At 40.9% G+C, this 27,452-nt stretch overlaps 1 long non-coding RNA gene across 1 annotated transcript in view; it reads left to right on the top strand.

Annotated features, from left to right (window-relative positions):
• LOC105369477 (uncharacterized) overlaps nucleotides 1-24,500 on the top strand; it is a 74,968-nt gene extending 50,468 nt beyond the window's left edge. The window contains exons 2-3 of the long non-coding RNA XR_001748363.2: nucleotides 21,870-21,983; nucleotides 24,313-24,500. This is a non-coding gene — a long non-coding RNA (uncharacterized LOC105369477). The remainder of the gene's footprint in view (nucleotides 1-21,869; nucleotides 21,984-24,312) is intronic.
• Nucleotides 24,501-27,452: the final 2,952 nt, after the last annotated feature.

The raw sequence follows: 27,452 nt of genomic DNA, 5'->3' as shown, positions 1-27,452 counted from the left end.
CAAATATAAAGCACCATAACCCTTGAATGGCAGTGTGCATGACACGTATACCTCAAGCCCCAAGGGGGACAATCTGACCAATTCTGTTAGAGAGGAAGAAAGCTTTGCAGATTACTGTCATTTATTTTTAGGCCTTTATTATATTTGCCATTCAGAGAAGAAAGAAATCTCTAGTGAAACTTCCATAATATTCAGTTCAAGTGACTCACATTTCTGCTTAATTATTATAAAGCTTTCTGGTAGAATTCTTTCTGGCCCTAATTGAAATTTATAGAACCTTTGCCTTCAAATGCAATAAATCTGTCATCACCAGGGAAGCAGTTTGCACCTGAGGCTACCGCCTGACATTGTAATATGGGGCTGACATTCTGATGAAGAGGCTGTGAGTGGTAGTCAGGCTAATATGAACTCTAGCAAGCACAAAGGCCACTGTTAAACCAAGGAAGGGCCTGGCCTGTGGTACACAGGGGCCCTAGGCCTGCGAGGAGAAGAAAGTTGAGGCCTACCTCACTGGACTTCACAACCCCTCATCCAGACACACCAATGAGCTGTTATAAGTTCACCTAGCTAATCTGCAATTTTCCTCATTCCTCCCCAAAACTTTATCACAAGTGGGGTTGGAAACATCAATAAACATTTAATTAAGGAGAGTTTGGGAAATTGTACCTTTTAAAGCTAATAAACAGTCACTTTAAATCTTATTTCAAAAATAACACATGCTCATTTTAAGACATTTAGTCAATATAAACAAAAATGAAAAATTAAAAAGTCAAATTATTGTTAGAATAGCCTTTAGGTCTTTTTTCTATGCACACATAAACATGTGATTTCCACAAAGCAATACTATCCATAAGGTTCAAAACCTATTGCTTTGCATGATATATCATGAACACATTTCCATGCTATTAAATATTATTTTGAACTCTAAACAATTTTAGTGAATGTAAGCATATTCAATTTTTAGGAATGTACAACAATGTATCTTGGCAATTTTAAATGATTAAACATTTAGGTTGTTTTAAATTTCCATATAAGTAATGGAGACAATTATTAAGAAGACTTCTTCCAATGTGATAAGTAAATAATAACATATTTTTATTGGAATTTATTTAAAACCAGTGGGGGTGTATAGGTTGTTGTGTGTTTTTTAGTCACTTGAAGTACTCCTTTTGTGACTTCCATACTTACCACATTTATATTAATGTGTTAATTTTTTTCTAATTTATTTCTAAGAAATTTACGTTCTGATAGTGTCTATTTTATTTCATTTTATTTTTGCTTTTTAAAACATAGTTATCCAGCTATATATATATATACACACACACACACACACACACACACAGATACATATACATTACATGCTTTCATGTTATATGTCTTACAAATATTGCAGTTTTATTTATGGGAGGCTTTCAAAAAACTATATTAAAATATTTAAAAATTAGTTAAAACTTTCAAACTTTTCAGTTTTTTTGTGTGTGAAATGCTTAGAAAGCCTTTAGATTTAGGTTATTTAAATAGTAGTACTTTTTTTTTAATGTTGTCGAAGTTTTTTGGGGTTTGTTTTTTACATTTAATACCATCTGGAGTTTATTTTGGTATGATGTGAAGTAGGGATCTTACTGCCTTGCTTCATAGATATTCCCACACTATTAATTGAATAATTCAGAATTCTCCAAATTATTTGAAATTCCATCTTGAATTTCTAATAATTTCAATTATTTAAAATTCCATGCGCTACATTTTTATATACCTGTTTCTGTTTTCTGAACTGTGTGGAATTGGTTGGTTGTTGCTGAGAGAGAGAAACAATAAGCTTAGGTCAGTTAATTACCAACTCGAGGCAGAGTATGCAAGTCAGAGGCCCCCTTACAGCTTTAGAGATCCTCATCTCCTGTGCCCAGGTCCCACTCTGCAGTGGACCAGGCTCAAGACAAAATTGTAAAATTGGCAGAACTTCATAGAGGGCTGAAATTTGTAGCCTCACAAAATTATCCACACCAAAGTCAGGGCTGTAGTAGGAAGAAGATCTTGGGACTAGGGTTGGGGTCTTCTGGACAGATAGACCTGAGAACCAGAAACTCTGGTTCCTCTGAATCTTCTGGGCCTGTATGAAGGGTCTCCTGCCCTTCACAGAAGGATGGAATCTTCCCCTTGCTCCTCATGTACCAGGTCTCAACTAAGGCTGATGCTGTGCCAGAAACTACTCATCTTCTTGATGGTCTGCCCCTGACTCCCATCTTAGCCACTATATCAAGCCTAGGGATTCATTTCAACAAGGGCTGACTGGGGAAAGGATGACCCTGCTAGTTTTGAAGATAGATTACCTAACGAAGGAGCTGCAGAGTCTGGGAATTCCTACCGGTAAGAACTGAAAGAGCATGTCAGAGGTGGGGGTAGTGAGATTAAAACTGGATAAGGGAGAGTTTGTTGAAAAGGGTCACTCTTCTGTTATCAGCGTGAATGCTCTCACATTGAGAGACCGTTTTCTATGCTGCTGGGATATTTCTTGGGAGCTTGGAAGAAGCAATGGTGTATACGCAAAGAGCAATTTATTTTCATTGTAGGAAACTTAGAAAATGAAGAAAAGTATTTTTTAATCCTCTTTAATTTTTAAAAAATTTTTATTTATTTTTGTTTTTTTAGAGACAGGGTTTCACTCAATTGCTCAGGTTGAAGCAGTGTGGCGTAATCATGGCTCACTGCAGCCTTGAACTCCTGGGCTCAAGAGATCCTCTGGCCTCAGCCTCTTGAGTAACTTAGCTAGGACTACAGGCACAAGCCACCACACCTGGCTAATTTTTAAATTTTTTGTAGAGATGTGGTCTCACTATGTTGCCCAGGCTAGTCCCAAACTCCTGGCCTCAATCAATCCTCCTGCCTCTGCCTCCAAAAGTGCTGGGAAAAAAATCCTTTTGATCCTTTGTCTTTTGCTTCAAAGATAAGCACAGTTAATATTTTAATATATTCCTTTCTGTAACTTTTCTATGTGTTCTTGTAAACACTCATACATAAAAACACACTAAAAGTAAACCTACTGCATATAAGGTTTTATTTTTATGTTGCTTTTTTTAAGAAATTAATGTTATATTGTTAGAATATTCTCCAAATTGTAATATTCTTAGAGAATATCACTTTTAACTTCAGAAAAAATATTCCATTGCATGATATAAGGTTCACCATGGTTGATTCCCCTACACCCCACTTAATGAGTTGCAAGTAGGTTGCTTGGAAAATTGAGTCCAGGCATCAATGATTGGCTCAAGAGTGGGAAGCTTGACACAATTTGGGCCAATAAGATACTAGAAGAGGCTTGTAGGTGGATTCTATGGGAGAAATGTCCTCACTTGTAAAAGAGAGCCACTATAAACTAGGTCTTTTCCTGATGAATGGGAAGAGGCAACATTGCTCTGGCACTTGCCTTAAGACCTTGAAAGAAGCCAGCATAAAGACAAAAATTAACACCCGAACAAAGGCCAAACAAAGAGAAAGACCAGAAATCAAGTTAGAGTCTCAATTATACAGGGTCTAAAGCTCATCCTATTTTTGGTCTTTTGATTAGGTGAGTCAATACACTTTCTTCTTGTTTGAGCTAGTTTGAATTATTTGCAGCTTAAAGAATTATAGGGACTATGTATGGAATCCAGGGTTGGCCTTCAGCTTTGCTGATTCAATTATGATCTTTGAACATAGCAAACTGATGATCTGATAGTATAGCTTAATAGTAAAAGCACAGATTTTGAAGTCAGAAGTACATAGGTTTGACTCCTTATCTGCTACTAACAAGTGACCTTGGGCAAGTTATTTATCCCCTCTAAGCCTCAGTTTAATAATCTGTATTATAAGAGTAATAATAGTTATTTCACAGTATCTTATTCAAGCTAATTATTGTTATCAAAGGAAGGTAGAGATAGAATCAGCTTCATACCCAGATGTAAAAATACCCAGCACACCAACATGGCACATGTGTACATATGTAACAAACCTGCAAGTTGCGCACATGTACCCTAAAACTTAAAGTATAATAATAAAAAAAAATACCCAGCAGAGGACTGTATAGTCTTCCAGATTCAATATTTTAAACTACAGCCTTCTATTGGTCTATACAAGTAATAATTATTTCTTGTTAAAAATGTCTGAAAAGTGTTGAAAACAATAACAATTACTTATGATCCCACTATGCTAAACAACTAACACAGGGATTAGGCTTTTGGCTTTAAGGATTGTGTACAAAGGAGAAAATCAGAGTTCTTTGTCTGCCTCGGTCATGGATTACTTTTACAACTTTGGCCAAGTCATTCAGTCTCTCCATCCTAGGGAGAGTGTTGACTTCTGCACATGGAAAGAGTAAACTTCCTATCTAATCATGAAGGGCAGGACTTTAGCAATACCACAACTCTGGAGGCCTGAAGAGAGTTTTTCAAGAGTGCTTTATGTAGGCCAGTCCTGGGGAAAACAGAATACCTTTCATATAATTAGAAATTATTCATAGACGTCCAAGGGAAACATTATAGGCAGGGGCTTATTGCTAATTTTCAGGGAGTAGGATGCAGTAATAATGTTGGAGTTTTATTATATTCTTGGCTTATTTGTATGCCAGCAAAACCCAAGAGATATCTCCTGTTTAATCCCATTGGAAAAATCTGATCCAGGAGGACACACATTCTGATGCTGCATTGTCTGCTTCTGAATTGGGAATCCTTGGTAGCTTCAAAAGGCAATTCAATTTGAAGTTGTTTCAGGCTATTAAAGCATAGAAACCAATGAGTGCAGAGACATACAGAAGAACCATTCTGGAGATGAATTGTTGATTACATGAAAGAGGTGGAAAAGAGACCTGATATCTGCCAGAGGGATCATGATTCCAATGAATGAATGGGGACCTTTCCCAGAGCAAAAACCTCCATAATCCCTCAAACATATTGAATTGAGTACAGAACCAGCCTGCATAGCCTGAGTAGCTATAAACCAAAACATTTTCCAAATCGAATATTCTCTTGCCTACATGTATGAGCTTCTCTCGCATCAGTCTTCCTTTCTCTTAAGAATCTTACCATATAAAATTTCCTTTAACAACTCAAATGCACCACACACACACACACGCACACACGCTCACACAAAGTTAACTTTTTTCTTCCCACATATTATTATTACTCTGCTCTGGAATGTTTTTCTTTCCCATCTTGGTCTCACTATATCCTATCAACTCAATGTGACAATCACAGGGAGGCTCTCTCTCAGATACTTCAGACAAGATTGGGTCCTGTTTTATACTCTCAGAGCACTGTGAACTTCCTGCTTGGTAGCATAATTGTGCATATAATGACTTGCTTTAACAGAAAACTTTCTTTAAACATTTACATATTGTAGAGAGGGGCTAATTTGCAATTATATCTTATTATGAATAAAGATTATGAGCCAAGTTCATTCAGTTTAACCAGAGATGCCCAGGAACATGGAGCCCTGGGTGCCTTGATGAAAAGGCCACTGAAAAAACAAGAGAGAAAGTGCTCAGTTAGGATTCCCTTGTTCCAAAGAGCACAAGAACTACTTCACACTGCTGTCTGGGGATGGCTCTCCAATCTTTCACTTTGCAGGCTTTTGTACAGTCCACAATAGAAGCACCATGGCCAAGATGATAATGGTCAGTTTCACTAAATAGCACAATTTAGAGTATGAACTTTCAATTTATTTCACTCCACTTTTAAAGCAACAAATGCAGGAAAATAATCAAATGGAGGCAATTCATGTTAATTCACGTTCTTTTTCCTTTTTCTTTTTTTTTTTCTTTTTTTTTTGAGATGGAGTTTCGCTCTTGTCACCCAGGCTGGAGTGCAATGGCATGATCTCTGCTCACTGCAACCTTTGCCTCTGGGTTCAAGCGGTTCTCCTGCCTCAGCCTCCCGAGTAGCTGGGATTACAGGCATGTGCCACCATGCCCAGCACATATTTGTATTTTTAGTAGAGATGGGGTTTCACCATGTTGGCAAGGCTGATCTTGAACTCCTGACTTCACGTGATCCACTTGCCTTGGCCTCCTAAAGTGCTGGGATTACAGGCAGTAGCCACTGCACCCAGGAATGTTAATGCACGTTCTGCATTGTTACCTAGAAAGATATATGCGCTTCACCCAGCAAAACATTTTTCACATTTCTAACTGGGCATAAACAACCATCATTTGGCTATGACCTGGAGGAGCTGAGCTCTCCAGCTATGGGGCAAGAACAGGGCTGGGCCCTCCGCAACCCAAGAAGGTGTGCTGCTGTGGCCACTGGTATGATTTGGATTTGTGTTCCCACCCAAATCTCATGTCGGACTGTAATTCCCAATGTTGGAAGAGGGGCCTGGTGGGAGGTGATTGGATCATGGAGGCAGATTCCCCCCTTGCTGTACTTGTGATAGTGAGTGAGTTCTCACAAGATCTGGTTGCTTAAAAGTGTGTAGCTCCTCCCTGTGCTCTCTCTTCCTCCTTCTCCAGCCATATAAGACATGCCTGCTTTCCCTTTGCCTTCCACCATGATTGTAAATTTCCTGAGGCCTCCCCAGTTATGCTTCCTCTACAGCCTGTGGAACTATGAGTCAATTAAACCTCTTTTCTTTATAAATCACCCAGTTTCAGGTAGTTCTTTATGGCAACGTGAGAAAGGACTAATACAGCCACGTTATTCAAATTCCTCAGGGAGCTTTGACAGAGTTGTTCCTCTAAGCCAGGACAACCATTCCCTTGCACACCATGCAGAAGAGCCATTAGGAACAGTGACCTTTCTGATTGTCTGGGGACTGAGCCAGAGGGTGACACCATAGGGAGAGGGGTAAGTGAGAGAGGACATTTGCTGGTTGGCTAGAGTTTCTCCTGAGCATGGAGATACCCCTGCTGGGACTCCCAGAGATATTTGGAAGGAGGCAGTAGGGTCTGGTGGTAGTGGTTTAACAGAGCTTTCTGCAGGATGTTTAACAAGGAGATGCCACAAATCCACAGGGCCTAAGCCGCTATTCTCATAAGCACTGGCGGGAAAATGAGAAGGAAGAGGAATATGAGAGAGGTACTGCTTCGTCCAGATACTTTGATTTCTTTATTTTTCTGGAGAAAAGTTTGTCTTCAACTACACTAAATTTTGATATGAAAGTAGATGTAGGTTTCCTACCAGGCACAAGGCACACCAGACCTTGCTGTAATAGGGGATTCCAATGGGAGTTCTCTTCCTGCCACCTGCCTACATTAGCCAGGACCCTTTGGTCTGACTGTGGTCAAGTGCCCATGCCCGTGCCCAAGAAGTAAAGTACTGTGTCTGGAAGCTCCTACCAGAATCACATGGTTGGAGAGGGGAAGAAATAGTTTCAGAAGAGACAGTGGGCGCTTTTCTGAGTAGAAAAAACAATATCTACTATACTGTCTTATGTATTAAAACATTTTCCCCCCCAAAAATTATGCAAAATAAGATTATTTATTAAAAATATCACCTATAATTCTATAATGGCAGTGTAATAGTTTTTTGTTTGTGATTGTATTTTCCCATTTCCTTCTCATCTGATTACATTTGTAGACATTGAAAAAATTATCACCAATACAGGCTAGATACTATTATATTTTTTGCTTTTACCTTGATTTCTTCCTGTGTTGCCTTCAGTCACTATCACCCAAAATTGATTTTAATGATTAGGACTGAGGAAATGTTTAAATTAGTGAATAGTCAGAGGTCAGCTTTGTAAATTCCAAGAGTAATAAGACATGGTTCTTGCCTCCAAGGAGTTTACCATCCAGTGAGAGAGAAAGAGATTTGGCATAAACCTCATTTTCCTTGGCTTCATGCTTCCACATGGAGGCATCCCACTAGAGCAGCACTCATGATTTCTGGCCCCATCCCTTCCTCTCACTCCTTCTGGGTAAGGAGGGCTGCCTTCTCTTTGAGAAAGAACAGAGCCTAAGTGGCTCAGTGACCTCCTTTCTTCTTTTATTTGGGGTATACTTACCTGAAGAAAGTATACATTCTTTTTGACTCCTCCATGTGAATATTCAGGGTCAGGGTTGGGGGAGATTTTTGGAAGTTCAGAACCAGCAGGGATGGTGCATGGTATGTCTAACTCATAGCCATTTTGGCTACAGGTCTTTGCTACATTCTCCAATATTAATTTTATCAGTAATAAAGGTGATGTTTTTATCTCCATCTGCCTAGCTCCTTTATTTTTTCAATTTGTTTCTAAGTTGGATGGCAGACTGAGGGTTGTTCCTGATTGACTACCCTAAAATGTCAGAAATGTACATAGGTTATTTTAGTATAATATTGTGCACTTACTAAAAGATAGAGATGCAGGTGTTATAGAATTACAGGGTGGGAAGGGGCACTTAGCAGAAACTGGAGGTCCAGGAGAAACTTCTAGAAGGAAAAGACATGAGCTGAATCACGATGGATGGAAATAATTATGAGAAAGAAGACAGAAAGGTATTCTGGGCAAAAAAAAATAACATTTATAAAGTCACAGAGATTTGAAGAATCATAGAGTGTGAAGGGAAGTGGCCTGATGACTAGAACTTAAAAAGTGTGGTAGACAGGTAAGGTTTAAGAGTGGGTGGGTAGCAGGTATTGAAGGGCCTGTGCACTGTGCTAAAGAACTTGTATTTGACCCTGTGGGCAATAGGGAGTTGCTGAAGGGTTTAAAGCAAGGGAGGTCAGATGTGCACTTTAGATAGGTGACATTGTAGAGAGTGGATGTAAGGGACCAAAAATTAGTAGTAACGTGACCTTCTAGAAGATTGCTTTTGTAGTTCAAGAAAGAATTGAGCATCCAAACCAGTGTAAGTTTTGGGAATTCAGATTTAAGAACATATAGAATATATTAAATTAGCAGAACTTGGCAATTGATGAAATATGTGTTGGGGTGGGTGTCTAAAATCACTCTGAGTTTTTTGGGTTGGTGACTTAGATAAATGTTATGTATTAGTTCATTTTCATGTTGCTGATAAAGACATATCCAGGACTGGGTAATTTACAAAAGAAAGAGGTTTAATGGAAAGAGGTTAATTACAGTTCCACATGGCTGGGGAGGCCTCACAATCATGGTGAAAGGCAAGGAGGAGCAAGTCACATTTTACATGGATGGTGGCAGGCAAAGAGAGAGCTTGTGCAGGGGAACTCACCCTTATGAAACCATCAGATCTCATGAGACTTATTCACTATTACAAGAACAGCATGGGAAAGACCTGCCCCCATGATTCAATTACTTCCCACCAGGTCCATCCCACAACACATGGGAATTCAAGATGAGATTTGGGTGGGGACACAGCCAAACCATATCATGGTAGAAGTGCCATTAACAGTAACTGGAAATCTAGAAGAAGGAACCATTCAGGATTGGAATAAGTAGGGAAGCTAATAATTTCTGTAATATTCAATTTAGCTTATGTTTATTTTGAGATGTTTCTGGGACTTCCAATGGCCATGTATAGCAGGCAGGTGAATGAATGAATCTGAAATTCATAGGCTGGTGTGATGGTTAATACTGAGTGTCAACTTGATTGGATTGAAGGATACAAAGTATTGATCCTGGGTGTGTCTGTGAGGGTGTTGCTAAAGGAGGTTAACATTTGAGTCAGTGGGCTGGAAAAGGCAAACCCACCCATAATCTGGTGGGCACAATCTAACCAGTTGCCAGTGAGGCTAGAATATAAGCAGGCAGAAAATGTAAAAAGAGAGATTGATCTAGTCTCCCAGCCTACATCTTTCTCTTGTGCTGGATGCTTCCTGCCCTCAAACATTGGACTCCAAGTTCTTCAGTTTTGGAACTCGGACCAGCTCTCCTTGCTCCTTAGCCTGCAGACGGCCTATTGTGGGACATTGTGACTGTGTGAGTTAATACTTAATCAACTCCCCTTTATAGCTATCTATCTATTTCATTAGTTCTATCCTTCTAGAGAACCCTGACTAATACAGGTTTTGGTTCCAGGAGTGGTTCTAGAGAAATAGAATATTAAGCATGAAATTCTTTTGTTGGTTTTGGGGTTTCTGGAGTTAGCTGTTTAATATGATTAGAACCAAAAATGCTAAGGACTCTACTTCTAATAGTATGGAGAACTGATAGTCCTTGGCATGAACTGTTTAGAAAGTTATGCAAAATAAATGCATTTGACGCTCCTGATTCATTGCTCGTGAAAGGCCAGGAGGTTAGTGACTCTATACATAATACATTTTACCGTATGTGGAGAACCAAGGAACATAATGAAGCTGGTTGATTGCTCCTAAGTTCAGTGGACAAAGTGATGAAACAAATGATGAACTCAGGGATTCCATCTTGTGGTTTCGGAAGCAGATACTGAGCTTCAAATCTGTTAAGATTGCCCTGAGTGAGAGTGTTATCTCCTGCAGAGAAAGAGCTGAAATTGTGGAAAAACAGACATAAGCTCTTATCATGCGAGTGGCTGACCTGCAATAAAACGTGCATGTACAGTCTCGCCAGGTGTCTACTGTTAAAGTGAGGGCATTGATTGGAAAAGAATGGGACCCTGCAACTCAGAATGAGGATGTGTGGGAGGACCCTGGTGAAGCTGGGGACACAGAGTTTGTAAACTCTGGTGAACCTTTTTGCCAGAAGAAACAGCTTCCCCATCCCCAGTAGTGGCAACATCCCCTCCCTGACCCATGCTGCCATCAGCCTTTCCACCTTTGTCTGAGGAGTTAAACCCTGCACTGCATGAGGCAACAGTGATGGACTCCCCTTTGGCAGTTGCCTGGCAAGATAATATTGATTCTCCTTAGGAGCTGCCCCCAACACCCCTGTTTGCTTCTAGGCCTATAACTAAAGTCCTGGTGTGCCCATAGAGGTGAGGTTGAGAGTGTGACCCAATAGGAGGTGTGCTACACTCAGAAAGAACTGCTTGAGTTTTCTGATTTATATAAGCAGAAATCTGGAGGACAGACATGGGAATGGGTATTAAGGGTGTGGTACAATGGCTGAAGGAACATAGAGTTGGATCAGGCTGAATTTATTGATTTGGACCCACTAAGTAGGGACTCTGCATTTAAGGTTGGAGCTTGGGGAGTTAAAAACGGTTCTAATAGTTTATTTGCTTGGTTAGCTGAAATATGGATTAAAAGATGGCCCACTGTGAGGAAGCTGGAAATGCCTGATCTCCCTTGGGTTAATGTTGAGGAAGGGATCCAAAGGTTTAGGGAGATTGGGATGGTATAGTGGATTAGTCACTTTAGATCTACTTGGCCCAGCTGGGAGGGTCCAGAAGATATACCCTTGACAAATGCCTTGTGAAATAGTTTTGTGAGGGCAGCACCTGCATCTTTGAAGAGCCCTATAATTGCTCTTCTCTCTGTGTCAGATCTAACTGTGGGAACCACAGTCACTCAACTACAAAATTTAAATATAATAGGAATAATTGGATCCCGAGGTAGCAGGGGCCAAGTGGTGGCACTCAACCATCAAAGACAAGGTGGGCATAGCTACCATAATGGACAGCAGAGGCAAAGTGGCAATCAGAATAGTCTGACTCATGTAGAGCTCTGGCATTGACTAATTAATCATGGTGGTCCTAGAAGTGAAATTTATAGGAAGCCTACTGCATTCCTACGTAATTTCTACAAGCAGAAAACTTCTAGGTCGAATGGACAAAAGACTAGTTTGAATTATAAAACAGAGAATCACAGCCCCTCAATCAGTTATCAGACTTAAGCCAGTTTATAGACCCAGAACCTCTTGAATGAAGGGGAGGGTGGGTCCCCTTGAGGAAGGACCCCTCTACATTACCAACAATTTAGGCAGTGAATTTTTCTCCCATCCTTCCCCAAGGAGACCTCTGGCCTTTTACCAGGGTAACTGTGCATTGGGAAAGGCAAATGATCAGACATTTCAGGGACTACTGGACACTGGCTCTGAGCTGACATTGATTCCAGGGTACCCAAAACGTCATTGCTGTCCCCCAGTTAAAGTACGGGTTTATGGAGGTCAGGTAATTAATGGTGTTTTAGCTCAGGTCCAACTTACAGTGGGTCCAGTGGGTCCCTGGACTCATCCTGTGGTCATTTCCCCAGTGCCAGAATGCATAATTGGCATAGACGTACTTAGCAGCTGGCAGAACCCCGACATTGGCTCCCTAACTGGTAGGGTGAGGGCTATTATGGTGAAAAAGGCCAAATGGAAACCGTTAGAGCTGCCTCTACCTAGAAAAATAGTAAATAAAAAACAATTTCACATCCCTGGAGGGATTGTGGATATTAGTGCCACCATCAAGAACTTGAAAGATGCAGGGGTGGTGATTCCCACCACATCCCCATTCAACTCTCCCATTTGGCCTGGCCAAAGACAGATGGATCTTGGAGAATGACAGTGGGTTATCATAAGCTTAACCAAGTGGTGACTCCAATTGCAGCTGCTGTACCAGATGTGGTTTCATTGCTTGAGCAAATTAACACGACTCCTGGTACCTGGGATGCAGCCATTGACTTGACAAATGCCTTTTTCTCCATTCCTGTCCTTAAGGCCCACCAGAAGCCATTTGCCTTCAGCTGGCAAAGCCATCAATATACCTTTGCTGTCCTACCTCAGGGCTATATTAACTCTTTGGCTTTGTGTCATACTTTTATTTGGAGAGAACTTGATCTCTTTTCACTACCACAGAATATCACACTGGTCCATTACATTGATGATATTATACTAATTGGATCCAGTGAGTAAGAAGTAGCAAACACACTGGCCTTATTGGTGAGACATTTGCATGCCAGACGATGGGAAATAAATCTGATTAAAATTTGGGGACCTTCTACCTCAGTAAAATTTCTAGGGGTCCAGTGGTGTGTGGCCTGTTGAGGTATTCCTTCTAAGGAGAAGGAAAAGTTGTTACATTTGCCCCCTCCTACAACAAAGAAAGAGGCACAACACCTGGTGGGCTTATTTGGATTTTTGTGGGCAACACATTCCTCATTTGGGTGTGTTACTCTGGCCTATTTATTAAGTGACCCGAAAGGCTGCCAGTTTTGAATGTGGTCCAGAAAAGGAGAAGGCTCTGCAACAGGTCCAGGCTGCTGTGCAAGCTGCTCTGCCACTTGGGCCATATGACCCAGCAGATCCAATGGTGCTTGAGGTGTCAGTGGCAGATATGATGCTGTTTGGAGCCTTTGTCAGGCCCCCATAGGTGAATCACAGTGGAGGCCTCTAGGATTTTAGAGCAAGGCCCTGCCATATTCTGCAGATAACTACTCTTCTTTTGAGAGACAGTTCTTGGCCTGTTACTGGGCTTTGGTGGAAACTGAACATTTGACTATGGGTCATCAAGTCACCATGGGACCTGAACTGCCTATCACAAACTGGGTGCTTTCTGACCCCTCTAGCCATAAAGTGGGTTGTGCACAGCAGCATTCCATCATCAAATGGAAGTGGTGTATATGTGATCAGGCTTGAGCAGGTCCTGAAGGCACAAGTAAGTTACATGAGGAAGTGGCTCAAATGCTCATGGTCCCCACTCCTGCCACCCTGCCTTCTCCCCCAGCCTGCACAAATGGCCTCATGGGGAGTTCCCTATGATCAGCTGACAGAGGAAGAGAATACTGCCTGGTTCACAGATAGTTCTGCACAATATTCAGGCACCACCCAAAGTGGACAGCTGCAGAACTATAGCCCCTTTCTAGGACATCCCTGAAGGACAGTGGTGAAGGGAAATCTTCCCAGTGGACAGAACTTTGAGCAGTGCACCTGGTTGTGCACTTTGCATGGAAGGAGAAATGGCCAGATATGTGATTATATACTGATTCATGGGCTGTAGCCAATGGTTTGGCTGGATGGTTAGGGACTTGGAAGAAGCATGATTGGAAAATTGGTGATAAAGAAATTTGGGGAAGAGGTATGCAGATAGACCTTTCTGAGAGGTCAAAAACTGTGAAGATATTTGTATCCCATGTGAGTGTTCACCAACGGGTGACCTCAACAGAGGAGGATTTTAATAATCAAGTGGATAGGGTGACCCATTCTGTGGATACCACTCAGCCTGTTTCCTGAGCCACCCCTGTTATCACCCAATGGGCCCATGAACAAAGAGGCCATGGTGGCAGAGATGGAGGTTACACATGGGCTCAGCAACATGGACTTCCACCTATCAAGGCTGACCTGGCTACAGCCACTGCTGAGTGCCCAATTTCAGCAGCAGAGACCAATACTGAGCCTTCGGTATGGCACCATTTCTTGGGGCATCAGTCAGCTACCTGGTGGCAGGTTGATTATATTAGAACTCTTCTGTCATGGAAATGGCAGAGGTTTGTCCTCACTGGAATAAACATTTACTCTGAATGTGGGTTTGCCTATCCTGCATGCAGTGCTTCTGCCAAGACTACCATCCATGGACTCACGAAATGCCTTATCCATCATGATATTCCACACAGCATTGCCTCTGACTAAGGAACTTGCTTTATGGCTAAAGAAGTGTGGCAGTGGTACTGTTTTTCCCATAGCCAGGATTCACGGGTCCAGGAATCAAGGGGTGGAATTGGAAGTTGCACCACTCACCATCACCCCTGGTGATCCACTAGCAAAATTTTTGTTTCCTGTTCCCGCGATATTACGTTCTGCTGGCCTAGAGGTCCTAGTTCCAGAGGGAGGAATGCTGCCACCCGGAGACACAACAAGGATTCAATTAAACTGGAAGTTAAGATTGCCACCTGGACACTTTGGGCTCCTCCTACCTTTAAGTCAATAGGCTAAGAAGGCAGTTACAGTGTTGGCTGGGGTGACTGACCCAGACTATCAAGATGCAATCAGTCTACTACTCCACAACGGAGGTAAGGAAAAGTATGCATGGAATACAGGAGATCCATTAGGGCGTCTCTTAGTATTACCATGTCCTGTGATTAAGGTCAATGGGAAACTACAACAGCCCAACAGCCTTGCCAATCCAGGCAGGACTACAAATGACCCAGACCCCTCAGGAATGAAGGTTTGTGCCACTCCACCAGGAAAAAAACCACAACCTGCTGAGGTGCTTGCTGAAGATAAAAGGAATACAGAATGGGTAGTAGAAGGTAGTCATCAATACCATCTATGACCATGTGACCAGTTGCAGAAAGGAGGACTGTAATTGGCATGAGTATTTCCTCCTTCCTTTGTTACAAACATGTTTGTGCATGTACACACTTGTACTAAGGAAATATCTTCATTTTATTTTCTTTCTCCTTTATCATGTAAAACAAGATTTATTGAATTCACATCAGCATTTAAGTATTGTTAACTTTATGTAATAGTATTCAGATTGGAGATTGGTGCATTTCTGGTTGTACAAAGGATAGTTGTATTAAGTTAGGCATAATTATGACCTTATTAGTCTTTATGATCTCAGGAGATGTGTATGGGTTCAAGTTGACAAGGGGTACACTTATGATGGCTAATACTGGGTGTCAACTTGATTGGATTGAAGGATACAAAGTATTGATCCTGGGTGTGTCTGCGAGGGTGTTGCCAAAGGAGATTAACATTTGAGTCAGTGGGCTGAGAAAGGCAGATCCACCCTTAATCTGGGTGGGCACAATCTAATCAGCTGCCAGTGCGGCTAGAATATAAACAGGCAGAAAATGTGAAAAGAGAGACGGGCCTAGCCTCCCAGCCTACATCTTTCTCCTGTGCAGGATGCTTCCTGCCCTCGAACATCAAACTCCAAGTTCTTTAGTTTTGGAACTCGGACTGGCTCTCCTTGCTTCTCAGCCTGCAGACGGTCTATTATGGGACCTTGTGATCGTGTGAGTTAATACTTAATAAATTCCCCTTTAATATATATATATATATATATATATATATATATCTCACATATATATCTATCTCATATATATATCTATCTCAGATATATATCTATCTCATAGATATATATATATCTCAGATATATATGTATCTATCATAGATATATATATCTCAGATATATATGTATCTATCATAGATATATATATCTCAGATATATATCTATCTCAGATATATATGTATCTATCATAGATATATATCTATCATAGATATATATCTATGTATCTCATAGATATATATCTATCTCATAGATAGATACGTATCTATCTGATAGATACGTATCTATCTCATAGATAGATACATATATATATCTCATAGATATATATATATGTAGAGAGAGAACCCTGACTAATAGAGCTGGTTATAGTTGGAGTTACAGATTTGAGAGTTATCAGCTTAAAAAATGGTAATACAAGAGTATGAGAAGTTTAAGGAGAGAAAAGAGCAGTGGGCCAAAGAAAGACCCTCAACTTTGTTGGGGGGTGAAGGAACAGCAAACACTATCCTTCACACAGATCCCTCCTCTGTCTCTGGGGTCAAACTCCAGTGAAGTTCAGCTTATACACAAGATCAAAGGTGAAGGAAATTTTTTTTTATTCAGGTTAATACTGTACTTCTAAAAGCTACTGTTTATTTTCTTGTAGTCGACTACACAAGAGTATAGTCCCAAGATGGGTGGGAGACCTTTACTCTCCCTTTTATGAGAAGATTATATTAGACTGAATATTTCCCTGTTTAGTTACTTACCTATCCCTCGTAAAGGCAGGAAGAGTAGCTAACACAGTTGTACAGTTTTGGGGTATTCATTAGAGATCATTTTTACTGCGGCATAGAGGAAAGGTACTGAAAAACATTATATGAGCCCATCTCTCAATCCTCCTTTTTCCTTATTTGGATACCAACTAAGTTTGTGCAGGTGAATGTGGAGGTAGATTGAGTTTTATTTGCAGCCATGTTCTCTCCAGAAATGTCTTTCAGCTACAGCTTCAGAAATTTAGAAAATAGAAGAATTAGTTCTCACATTCATGCTGCATTTTCCAGGCCAGGCCAATCCTATCCTATGAGGTTCTCAAGCACTAACCTGGCCAATTAATGCTGTCAGTGCTTTGAATTGCATTTAACTGCCAGATTTTGTGTGTGCTTTCTAATGTTCAGAATGCTGGTGAGGACATAAGACAACAGGAGATCCCTAATTTTTCTAGTAACATCCCTAACCCTTGCCTATTTTAGAAATGTATAACTCACGAACACCACACACGGTTTACTTTGAACTTTGAAGGAGTTTTGGTTGTTATCTCTTCTCAATGTAGCTATTATTTCAGGTGTAGAATGACCAGCTATAATCAGAACAATTAGTCTGAAACTCTGGGTGATTTATCTGGTGACCAAAAGCTAAAGGGGGAAATCAATATGGATTTTACAAAAAAAAAATTAACATTAGGTTAAGATGGAACATAACTAGTAACCATTAAATTGTTTTTGGGCACTTGGAACATAAGCATTCTTATGCAGTTTGGTATGAGAACTATTATCCGTTCTTTGGGTCAGAAGAGATTAGAGAGAAAGCGCTTGCCGATGAGATGCCTGGCCTTATCTTAGCATGCAAAAGTTCCTTAGGCAGTTGGTTAAGAGCCTTTCATGATCAACCAAGTATGATGTTAAGAGCATTTGTGAGTTAGCTCTTGGCACTGAAATGTTGGTATTAATGATGGGATGATAAAGACACAATTATACAATTTGGGAATTTGACATTTCCACCCTCTTTCACAGAGAGCTGAGGAATTCTCCTTGAGGATATTTCTTAAATAGATCGTGAACCCATCTACTTCTTTAAATCTTCTTGATGCACTTTAGTGAAAGCTATCATATTTTACTCTTACTTCCCCAACTGGCCATTCTTCAAACAGAGCAGTCTTTTCAAAAGCATACAACACGTACAATTTCTCTAATCAAGACTCGCCAGTGACTTTTCATTTTGTTTAGTAAACACTTGGGCTGTTTACTATGGCCTACTGAAATCCACATAATTTGGTTTTGTCTTTTTTCTAATTTCTCCTTTATGTCTACCATGTTCTAGTTTCATTGCCTTCTCTCAGTTCATTGAACATACTGAGCTCTTTCCTGCCACTGGACCTTTGCACTTGCTCCTTTCTCTTCCTAGAAAGACCTGTCTTGGCTGCTCACGTGTCTGACTCCTTTTATTCTTCAGATCTCAGCTCAGATTGCACCGACTTAGAGGAAACTTACTTGATCTTTTTTCTCCAATCACTCTTTATCATATCACCCTTTCATTTACTTCATAGCACTTACAATAATTAGAAATTATCTTCTTTATTCATTCCTTTAATTGTCTATTCTATGTCGCCCAACTAGAGTGCAGACTTTATAAGTGCAGGGAATGCCCCAAACCTGGAAGAGTGCCTGCCCCTAAAACTTTTGTTGATGGAATTAATCACAAGCTGCAATATAAAGATATTGCAAATCATAGAAACATAAACTTAGGTTTCCACTCTCCATTTCCACAGCTAATAGTGGTAGTTTTCTGTATCTATTTCTTGAGATGTGGGGGGCAGACAGCAACCAAGAGTAATAAGTCAGTTGAACTGCTGAATTGATGTTTCAAAATTCTTAGTAGTGAAGAAATCTTTAAAAGGCAAGAGAATGAAGAAAGAAAATGGGTTTGAAGACCTAGAACTTGGCTTTGTCTATCAAGAGCCAAAACCTTGAGGGAAATAAAGTGTAGAGCTTATGCAGAAAACAGTAGATTCAAAAGAATGCATGATGGGGTAAAATCTTGTCTTTTGCTCCTTGATGAACTGGGAGAAACAGTTGACCACCTGAAGGGAGGAGAGAGAAAGGCTAGATAGAGGGGTGTCAGAGACTGAGTAATGGACATGGATCCCTTTGAAGACTCTGATAGACTTGAGGATTAGAGAACATTAGAAGATCGAAGTCCCATGTCCTGCTGGAAACTCTGAGAAGAGATAGACTCATAGCAGGCCATATTCAATGTGGTAGTAGTGGTGGTAGTGTTGCCATGGTTAAGTAGAAATGGTGACCACTCAGGAGTAGCAGAGAGAAAACTAGCACCACTGTCCACTTCACCTTGAGCCTTAATGATGTTTCCATTTTTTGTTTGTTTGTTTGTTTGTTTGTTTGTTTGCTTGAGACAGTCTCGCTTTGTTGCCTAGGCTGGAGTGCAGTGGTGCGATCTCGGCTCACTGCGACCTCCACCTCCCAGGTTCAAGTGATTCTCCTGACTCAGCCTCCTGAGTAGCTGGGACTACAGATGCACACCACCACGCCCAGCTAATTTTTTTTTGGTATTTTTAGTAGAGACTGGGTTTCGCCACGTTGGCCAGGCTGGTCTGAAACTCCTTACCTCAACTGATCTGCCTGCCTCGGCCTACCAAAGTGCTGGGATTATAGGCGTGAGCCACTGCACCCAGTCTGAGCCTTGATGATGTTTCATAGTCCCAGGTGGTGTGAGTGAAGAGATAGGCTGAGAAGGGCAAATGAGTGTTGGGGGTGGGGGGGAAGTGAGGGAGTACAGGAGAAGCAGGGAGAGAGAGAGAGAGAAAACTCATAGTGGATGGAGAGAGAGAGAGAGAGAGAACTCATAGTGGGGATGGGATGGACACGGAGAAACCTGTGAGGTCTTTATAGGGAGGACTGCAGACAATGGGTGGCAGGTGCAGTAGAAACAGCTACTGTAAACCAGGGCCAGCTGAACAGAGGCCAGCACAGAGTTCAACATGCCGCAAGTGCCTCTCCCATGTTGCCAGGATGATACAAAACCCCTTGCTACCTCCCGTACTTTAATTCAGTCACTGGGAAAGAGAAGAGAAAACTAAGGAGGAGTTTGGAAATCTTAAATTAACTGAATTTTTTTTTTTTTTTTTTTTTTTTTTTTGAGACGGGGTTTTGCTCTTGTTGCCCAGGCTGGAGTGCAGTGGCGCGATCTGGGCTCACTGCAACCTCTGCCTCCCAAGTTCAAGCGATTCTCCCACCTCAGCCTCCTGAAAATTAACTGAATATTTAGGCCAGAAAGAGCCATTTTGAGTTTTAAAGCAGGATGATTTAATTTACTTTGAATTACAAGATTCAATTTTCTTCCCATTGGTGAAAGTGGGAGCTTGGAAACTAACAAAGTTCAATTATGAGAAAAGTAAGTCATATTCTTGCAAATCTGAATCCATGATTATATTAAAATTCAATTCATACTCCCTAAGTTGTTCATTTTAAAATCTGTCTGTGTATATATGTTTGATGTTGAGCGACTAGTAAATGGGTTTTGGTCTTTTTTTTTTTTCCTGCTGGTACTCGCAGGACTTTGTGAAACTAAATGGGAGAACTAGGTCAGGCTGCTCGTTCAGAGTGAATGACAAGGCTAGGGAAGAATAGGCTTTTCTTTTATCCTGAGGCTTTGGAAAGAGAGAAAACACTTTCGATGGGATTTAGAAACATGATGTAGGAAGAAATTTTTTTCTAGATACTTTTGTTGTATTCACCTCTCCTTAAGAAAATCTAAACAAGTCAGACTATTATAGAAATAAAAGAAGGAAGAGGGTTCATAATCTGAATTAGAAAATAATTCTTAGTAATACAAAATCAGTGCTTGTCTTAAGTGCTTGTTTATGGTTCATTAGCCATTTGACAGGGGAAGACAAACTGAAAACTAAAGCATTAAGGACAAGTAGCCAATGGAAGATCAATCATAAAAGACAGCCTGTTGGTAGTTGCCATTCATTGAGAAAATGTAATTTAATTTACAAAGCTATCAGTTTAATTTCACCTGTTAGAGAGTGGAAAGAAGGTGACCTTTTAGTAATATCAGGTTTCTTGTTTTTTTCACCAAAAAATGTGGAAAAATCTCTTCATTATGAGAGCCCAGGAATCTAGCACCATCTCCCTGACTTGACCACAACTATTGCTTTGTACCTATACTTCTGCTAGTATCAACCTGGAAAGTCTATATGGGTCATATTTGTTATAACCAAGTTTTTTTCCTCCACTGAATTTCAGTAATATTTCTGCATCCTGCAGCCTGTCAATGTTTTAGTTTTTCCCTGTGTGTTATTCTATACTCTTCTCAGCTGTATGGTCCTCCTCCTATGTCTGACATGGTCTGTGTCAGCACTGTGGTCAGCAAGATTTAACTTGTGCTACGTTTGTGTTCTGAGGACTCGGTAAACAGAATGCTTTTTACTAAGTCCTCAGAAAACATGCTCCCACACTCTCATGCTCTCTCTCCTTTCCCTCTCCTGTCCTTCAGCTCCTTCCCCAACTAACCACGACCCTCGCAACACTCACCTCACTTCCCCCTTAAATGTTGGCCCTACTAAGCAGGAGGCAGTTCCTCGCGCAGAAAGATACAACTTCCTCTTCAAGGGAGATCAGTTGGAGACCCAAGTGTGTGTTTTGGAAGTGAGAGGAAGGTGCCTGCGGAGGGAGAGGCTAAAGGGAGAAGAAAGGAGGATGTGGGTGGAAAAAAGATTAGAAGGAGGTGAGAAGGTGGGGAGAAGAATACTGAGGGGGGTGAAGGAGCTGTCTCTAGGGCACAGTATTACCTTTAAATAGAGGAAGAGGAAAACTTCCTGCGAGATAGAAGGTAATGAATTAAGAGGGGGGGAGATTGGCCGGGCGCGATGGCTCACGCTTGTAATCCCAGCACTTTGGGAGGCCGAGGCAGGCGGATCACGAGGTCAGGAGATCGAGACCATCCTGGCTAACACGGTGAAACCTCGTCTCTACTAAAAATACAAAAAATTAGCCGGGCGTGGTGGCGGGCGCCTGTAGTCCCAACTACTCGGGAGGCTGAGGCAGGAGAATGGCGTGAACCCGGGAGGTGGAGCTAGCAGTGAGCCGAGATTGCACCACTGCACTCTAGCCTGGGCTACAGAGCTAGACTCTGTCTCAAAAAAAGAAAAGAGGGGGAGATTTTGATTTGGCCATTTTGACCTGGCCAATTAGACACTGTGATTTCTACAGAGTTGGGAGATGTTTTGAGAAGGCCCCAATACTGAAGTTCATTCTTTGACAGGAGTGAGGTGGATATTACCATTATTTAGTGATCTTTTCCTGTGTTGCAGACCCAGAACCATTGCACCTGTCACTATGACTACATGACTACGATTACTCCCATTTCACAGGGGAAGAGAGCTGAATTATCTTGGAGCTTCTCCTTTGATATAGCAGTTGTACAGGTGAATATCAATGCTCTCTGCAAAGAGCAAATAACTATTTTAACGCTCTGTTCTAAAGTCAAGTAGCAAGGTTTACATGGTCTTACCTCATGTAGGAGGTTGAGAATTTTAAGAAATTTTAAAGAAAGTTTGAAATACAAGATTGAAGGTGGAATGACAGAGACTCGTGTTTGTGTGTGTGTGTGTGTGTGTGTATGGAAGGAGGAAATGGTATATAAATAAGGGCAAGGTCTGGACACAATATATCTGAGAAGGTAAAAGGGAAAATAGCTGAGTAGCTGTTCTCAATAAACGCACCAAAGAATTAACTTTGATTTGGAATCTTCTCAACACAAAGAGATGATAAATGTTTGAGGTGATGGATATCTCAGTTACCCTGATTTGGTCATTACACATTGTATGCATATGTCAAAATATCACATGTACCCCATAAAAATGTACAATAATTATGTATCAATGAAAACAAACAAAAAAGAAAGTTTGAAATCTCATTTGGCAAAATGTAGCCAGTAAATGTGATTCTTTTCAGTCCTGATTCTTCTCATTCAATGAAATTTTCTGCATCAGGCATGCAATTGTTATAGGCACTTGGATTTGCATCAGAGACCTGCTGGAGTTGTCCACTATTTTCAGGCTGGAAATGGAAGGAGGTAGCACTAGATTTGCAAATCCAGGCACATAATAGATGTTGTGATTCCATCTGAGGCATGGCAGAATGTACCTAGATTGTTTATCTTGGAGAAAAACTGAAGCTACTGAATGAGGAAAGCAGACAGATCCAAAAATCAAAACCACAGGCTGTGTGTTGAAGGCAAAACTCTGAGGGCTGTAAAGTTTATTTTTTGAAGTCTCTCACTTTGCCTTTCTTACTCTTTTTCTTGGCTACTACCCCACCCCAAACTGATACCACTCCTAGCATCCTTTATACAGAGACTTGCTGCCCCCTTATCTAATTTTTGTCTTCTTAGAGGCCATGACTGCAGTAAATATATTTTCTAGGCAAAATTATGTCACATGTATATTTGCAAATGTATTTATATGAAACAGTAACACAAATTACAATTAATTGTAAATATAGTTGTAAATATATACAAGTCCCAGTCAAAATGACCCCTCTTCTTTATTTTTTCAATTCCCATTCCTACCAGCAACATTCTTTTTCCTCAGTCCGTTAGTCTCACCTAGAAAATTGATTTGATAAAATAATATACTTTTAAGTGTTGTAGGCTGACAATACCTGTTGTTGCTATTAATGAGTTTTTTTGGTGTGTGAGCACCAAGGATCTCTTCCTTCTTTTGGGAATCTTACTGTTTTCCCTTTAACGAACCGCTTTTGTATCTCCCATTACAGGAAATAGATGGGAGTTTTTATTTTATGACTCTGTTTCCTGGCCACAGTGATTGGTTCATAGATAAATACCACCTAATCAAGACTGGCCAGTCACAGTTCTCCCCTAGGATATATATTTTTTGAACTATCAGGGACACAATTTTCTCTCTTGTCTCTGATTTTCAAGTGTAAAAGAATATAAGCCTATAGTTGCTAGTGTACACGTCTCCAATTGTAGAGATTTTGCTCAAGATAAAAAGAAAAAGCAGACACATTTGAGAGGTAGAGAGTCCTACAGATATCAAGCCCCTGCTTCCTTCTGGTTTTCTCTTGGGTCTAGTTCTACTCTTGCCTTGCCTACTGTTTGCTCAAATACTAGTCAACACATATATCTTCCTCCTCTCTCTCCTTTGTTTTTTTCCCCCTTAAATATTAGCCAGAGCTATGACTAATATATTTCCACAAGGAAGTAACTAAATCTAGGAAATTTTTCTTTTTCAAGAGGACATGGTCACAAAAAACAAAAAAACATTTGATGGTGTTTCATGAAGTATGGCAAATGGAAGTGAAGCAGTTTTGAGCAGAAGGTTCACTCTGATGTGTCTCAACTTCCACCACACAAGTATCAGTCTGTGCCACTCACTAAAACGGCCAGCTTTGCCAAGGATCTTTGAGAACTTAAGTAGATGAACTGGTGACTCTGTTTAGAATGAACAGCAATGCCCAGCTACTTCCTGAGGATTCTGTAGAAATCTAAAAGGCAAATAAGTAAGCCTGCATTAAATGATGCTACCATATTTCTACCATGTGGGTCTGATCTCCCTAATACCTATATTTAGGCTTTGATGCAGCAGTTCCATGTGGCAAGATCCTGGTAAAAATCTTTGTGCTGTGATAGAGAATGTGGCTGTGGATTGGCCAGGCCAAGGATTTCCTGAGAACCATGTAGGCTTTCAGTTGAGCAAAGCCTGGGGTAACTTCTCTCATTTTTTTCAAAAGGAACCTCAGTCAACTGGCCTGTTGTGCAGAAAGTTCTCAAGCCTGGTGCCAAGAGTACTGGGAACCACGAATTCCCTTCTCGCCCCTGCGTCTTTGAAGCTGACCCCTGGAAGAGCAGAAATCCTTGGCTCGGGTTCTGGAGTGGATGGGAGACAGTTTACTGATAAACTTATTAAAAATTTTGAAGAGGGTTGGTGAGTACACTCCTTGATCTTTTTGCCTGAGAGCCTGTTGAGTGTGGCTGGCTTTGAGGCATCATCAATCATTGGAATCTGTGTTGACAACAAATGAGAGTGCTTCTGCATTTGTTCTTGGTGGAAATGAGCCTTATGGAGCATGACAAAGAGTCCCCAGGAAGCCCTTATGAGGCTGTCTTCAAGAATAATCATGGCCCTAATGATGATTAAGTAGTGTGGTTAAGGCATTAGTAGTAGTGTAGTGTGTAGTGTAGTGTGATTAAGGCATTTAGGGGGTATAAAGCAATAGCGCCCCAGTATCTAGCATGGTATGCCTCAGAAAGAGTAATAGTAGTAACTTTCATTGAGCATCTGTTATGTGCCAGGTTCTCTTCTTACCACATTCCATGTACTACCTCATTTGATTCTTATAACATCTTATCAAATAGGCACTTTTATCACCTTCATTTTTTTGGAGGGAAAAAAATGAAGCACAATATAAATGAATTGCCCAAGGTTGCTATGGTAGCTTGTCTCCAAAGTTGAGTCTTCCTGGAATCTCTGCTGGCCCTGTGACTAAACTTTGACCAAGGAAATACAGCACAAGTGATGTCATAAGCCCAGTTGAGCCTTATATTACTGTAGCACCAGTTAAATACTGACTGCAACTGCACGAGAGACTCCAGAACCACCCAGCTAAACCCAGTGTGCCCACAGAACCATGAGAGCTAATAGTAAATTATTGCTTTAAATCACAAACTTTTAGGGTGGTTTATTATACAACAATAGCTAACGAAAACATTCACATGGCAGGTAAGTTGCAGAGCTGGGGTTAAAGCCCAGGCAGCTGGGTCCAGAGCCAATGCTCTCCACCAGTGCTCTACATGGACTCCATTCCTCTTGGTTGTTGTGACCCTGATTATGATGTATATAGGTGAGATTTCCCCAAGCAAGCAGACGTGCAAATCTGTCAAATAAACATGGTGGATTTGTAGAAAAAATATATATAGCAGAGAGGATTAAACATGATTCTGAGTCAGATAGACTTGACTTTGAACTTCTGCTGTACCACCTGCTAGTTTTATGACCTTGGACAAATTATTGCCGGGTGGGGGCCTGATGGTGATGAGGGTCAGCTTCTTAAGTTAGTGTGTACAGGCAAAATCACCTCTAAAACTCTGAAAGCTCTTCACGCTTTTTTTGTTGTTGTTAAAACAGGGTCTCATTCTGTCACCCAAGCTGGAGTGCAGTGTTGCAATCTTCACATTCTTTCAGTACAGACTCAAGTATACCCGTGTGGCCACACACTTTAAGGTGAAGTCTTTTCACAGGATATCTGAAGCAAGTGCTTATTGAGTGAAATGGCTAGAGCCATGGGCACTGTTAAAAATAAGTATCCTGTTTTATATTTTGACTGAATGTGCATGGTTTAATTTATATAATCTAAATGTGTTTAGGAAGAGCCTCTATCTTACTTTTCTGTGCTTCAGTTTTCTCATCCTTAAAATGGGACTGTAGATTAGCTGCACGGGTTTATTTATTTATTTTTATTTTTTAATAGAGGCGGTGTTTCACCATGTTGGCCAGCCTGGTCTCAAACTCCTGACCTCAAGTGTTCCACCCTCTTTGGCCTCCTAAAGTGCTGGGATTACAGGTGTGAGCGAGGTTTTTTTGTTTGTTTGTTTTTTGTTTTTGTAGATGAAGTCTTGCTCTGTCACTCAGGCTGGAGTGCAATGGTCTCGCCTCCCGGGTTCAAGCGATTCTCCTGCCTCAGCCACCCTAGTAGCTGAGATTACAGGTGCCCGCCACCACACCCAGCTAATTTTTATATTTTTAGTAGAGATGGGGTTTCACCATATTGGAGGGTTTATGCAGGTATTAAATGAGACCTTTTATGAAGAATGTCTGGTAATTGCTTCCTTTGGAGTAGAGGGCCCCTTGGATACTCTCAAGTTCTGGCTGACTGCCTCGCTGCTTACTGAGCTCCCTGTGGGGAGAAAAATAAATTAGTGATACCAAAACAAATTTTTAAGGGACCCAGGATATTAATTTAGTTCACTGAATCTCAAATCAAACTTTTTCTTTTGTACCTCAGAGATAGAAATATTTATATTTTCAGTATTTTCCACTGTACAATGGATGAATTCAAGAACATAATATGATAACCATGTAAGTTAGACAGCACATGTACAGTAGTCACGTAGGAGTGAGTGTATTTCTTGAGATTCCTGTTGTAACAAGTGCAATGGTGATTTTCAACTTTACACTAGTGCTTCCATAATTAACCTGAAAAAAGTTATTTGATAGGTGTGAAGAAGCAGTGGAAAGAGGGGACAGGAGAAGTATATATATCTAGGGTCATGTTTCAAGGTTGCCATGTCTCTATTTTTCAGAGGTCTCAACTGCTAAATCCGTCCATATTCTCTATTGCTGTATGATGAATCATCTCATACCTTGATGAGTTAAAATGAGTTGTTCATCACCTCTCATGGTTTCCGTGAGTGAGGAATTCAGATAGGGTACAATAGAGATGGCTTGCCTCTGGCTCACATCGTATAGGGCCTTGACTGAAATACTTGAAGACAGGAGGCTAGAATCATTTGGAGTCTCAAGCACTCACCTGTCTGGCACTTGATGGGGCCTTAGTGGATCTATCAGCTGGAACACCTACGTTTGGCTACTCTGTGTGGCCAGTGTTTCCTTAAAACATGGTGGCTGGACCGCAAGGGAAAGCAAGCACTGAGAGAGCGAGAGCGAGAGAGCCAGGTAGAAGCCATATTGCTTTTTATGACGTAGCCTGAAAAGTCATGCAGCAGCACTTCTGCCACATTTTGTGGGTCAAGGCAATCACAGAAGTCAGCCCAGATTCAAGGTGGGGTGGGGGGACACACATAGACCCTGCCCTCAAGTGTCAATGTCACAGTGTAAGAAGAGTATCTTACATGGGATATGTATACGTGTGTG

This window comes from Homo sapiens, chromosome 11 (genome assembly GCF_000001405.40).
Source record: "Homo sapiens chromosome 11, GRCh38.p14 Primary Assembly".
Classification (NCBI taxonomy): domain Eukaryota; kingdom Metazoa; phylum Chordata; class Mammalia; order Primates; family Hominidae; genus Homo; species Homo sapiens.
This window is presented reverse-complemented; position numbering and strand designations above follow the sequence as displayed.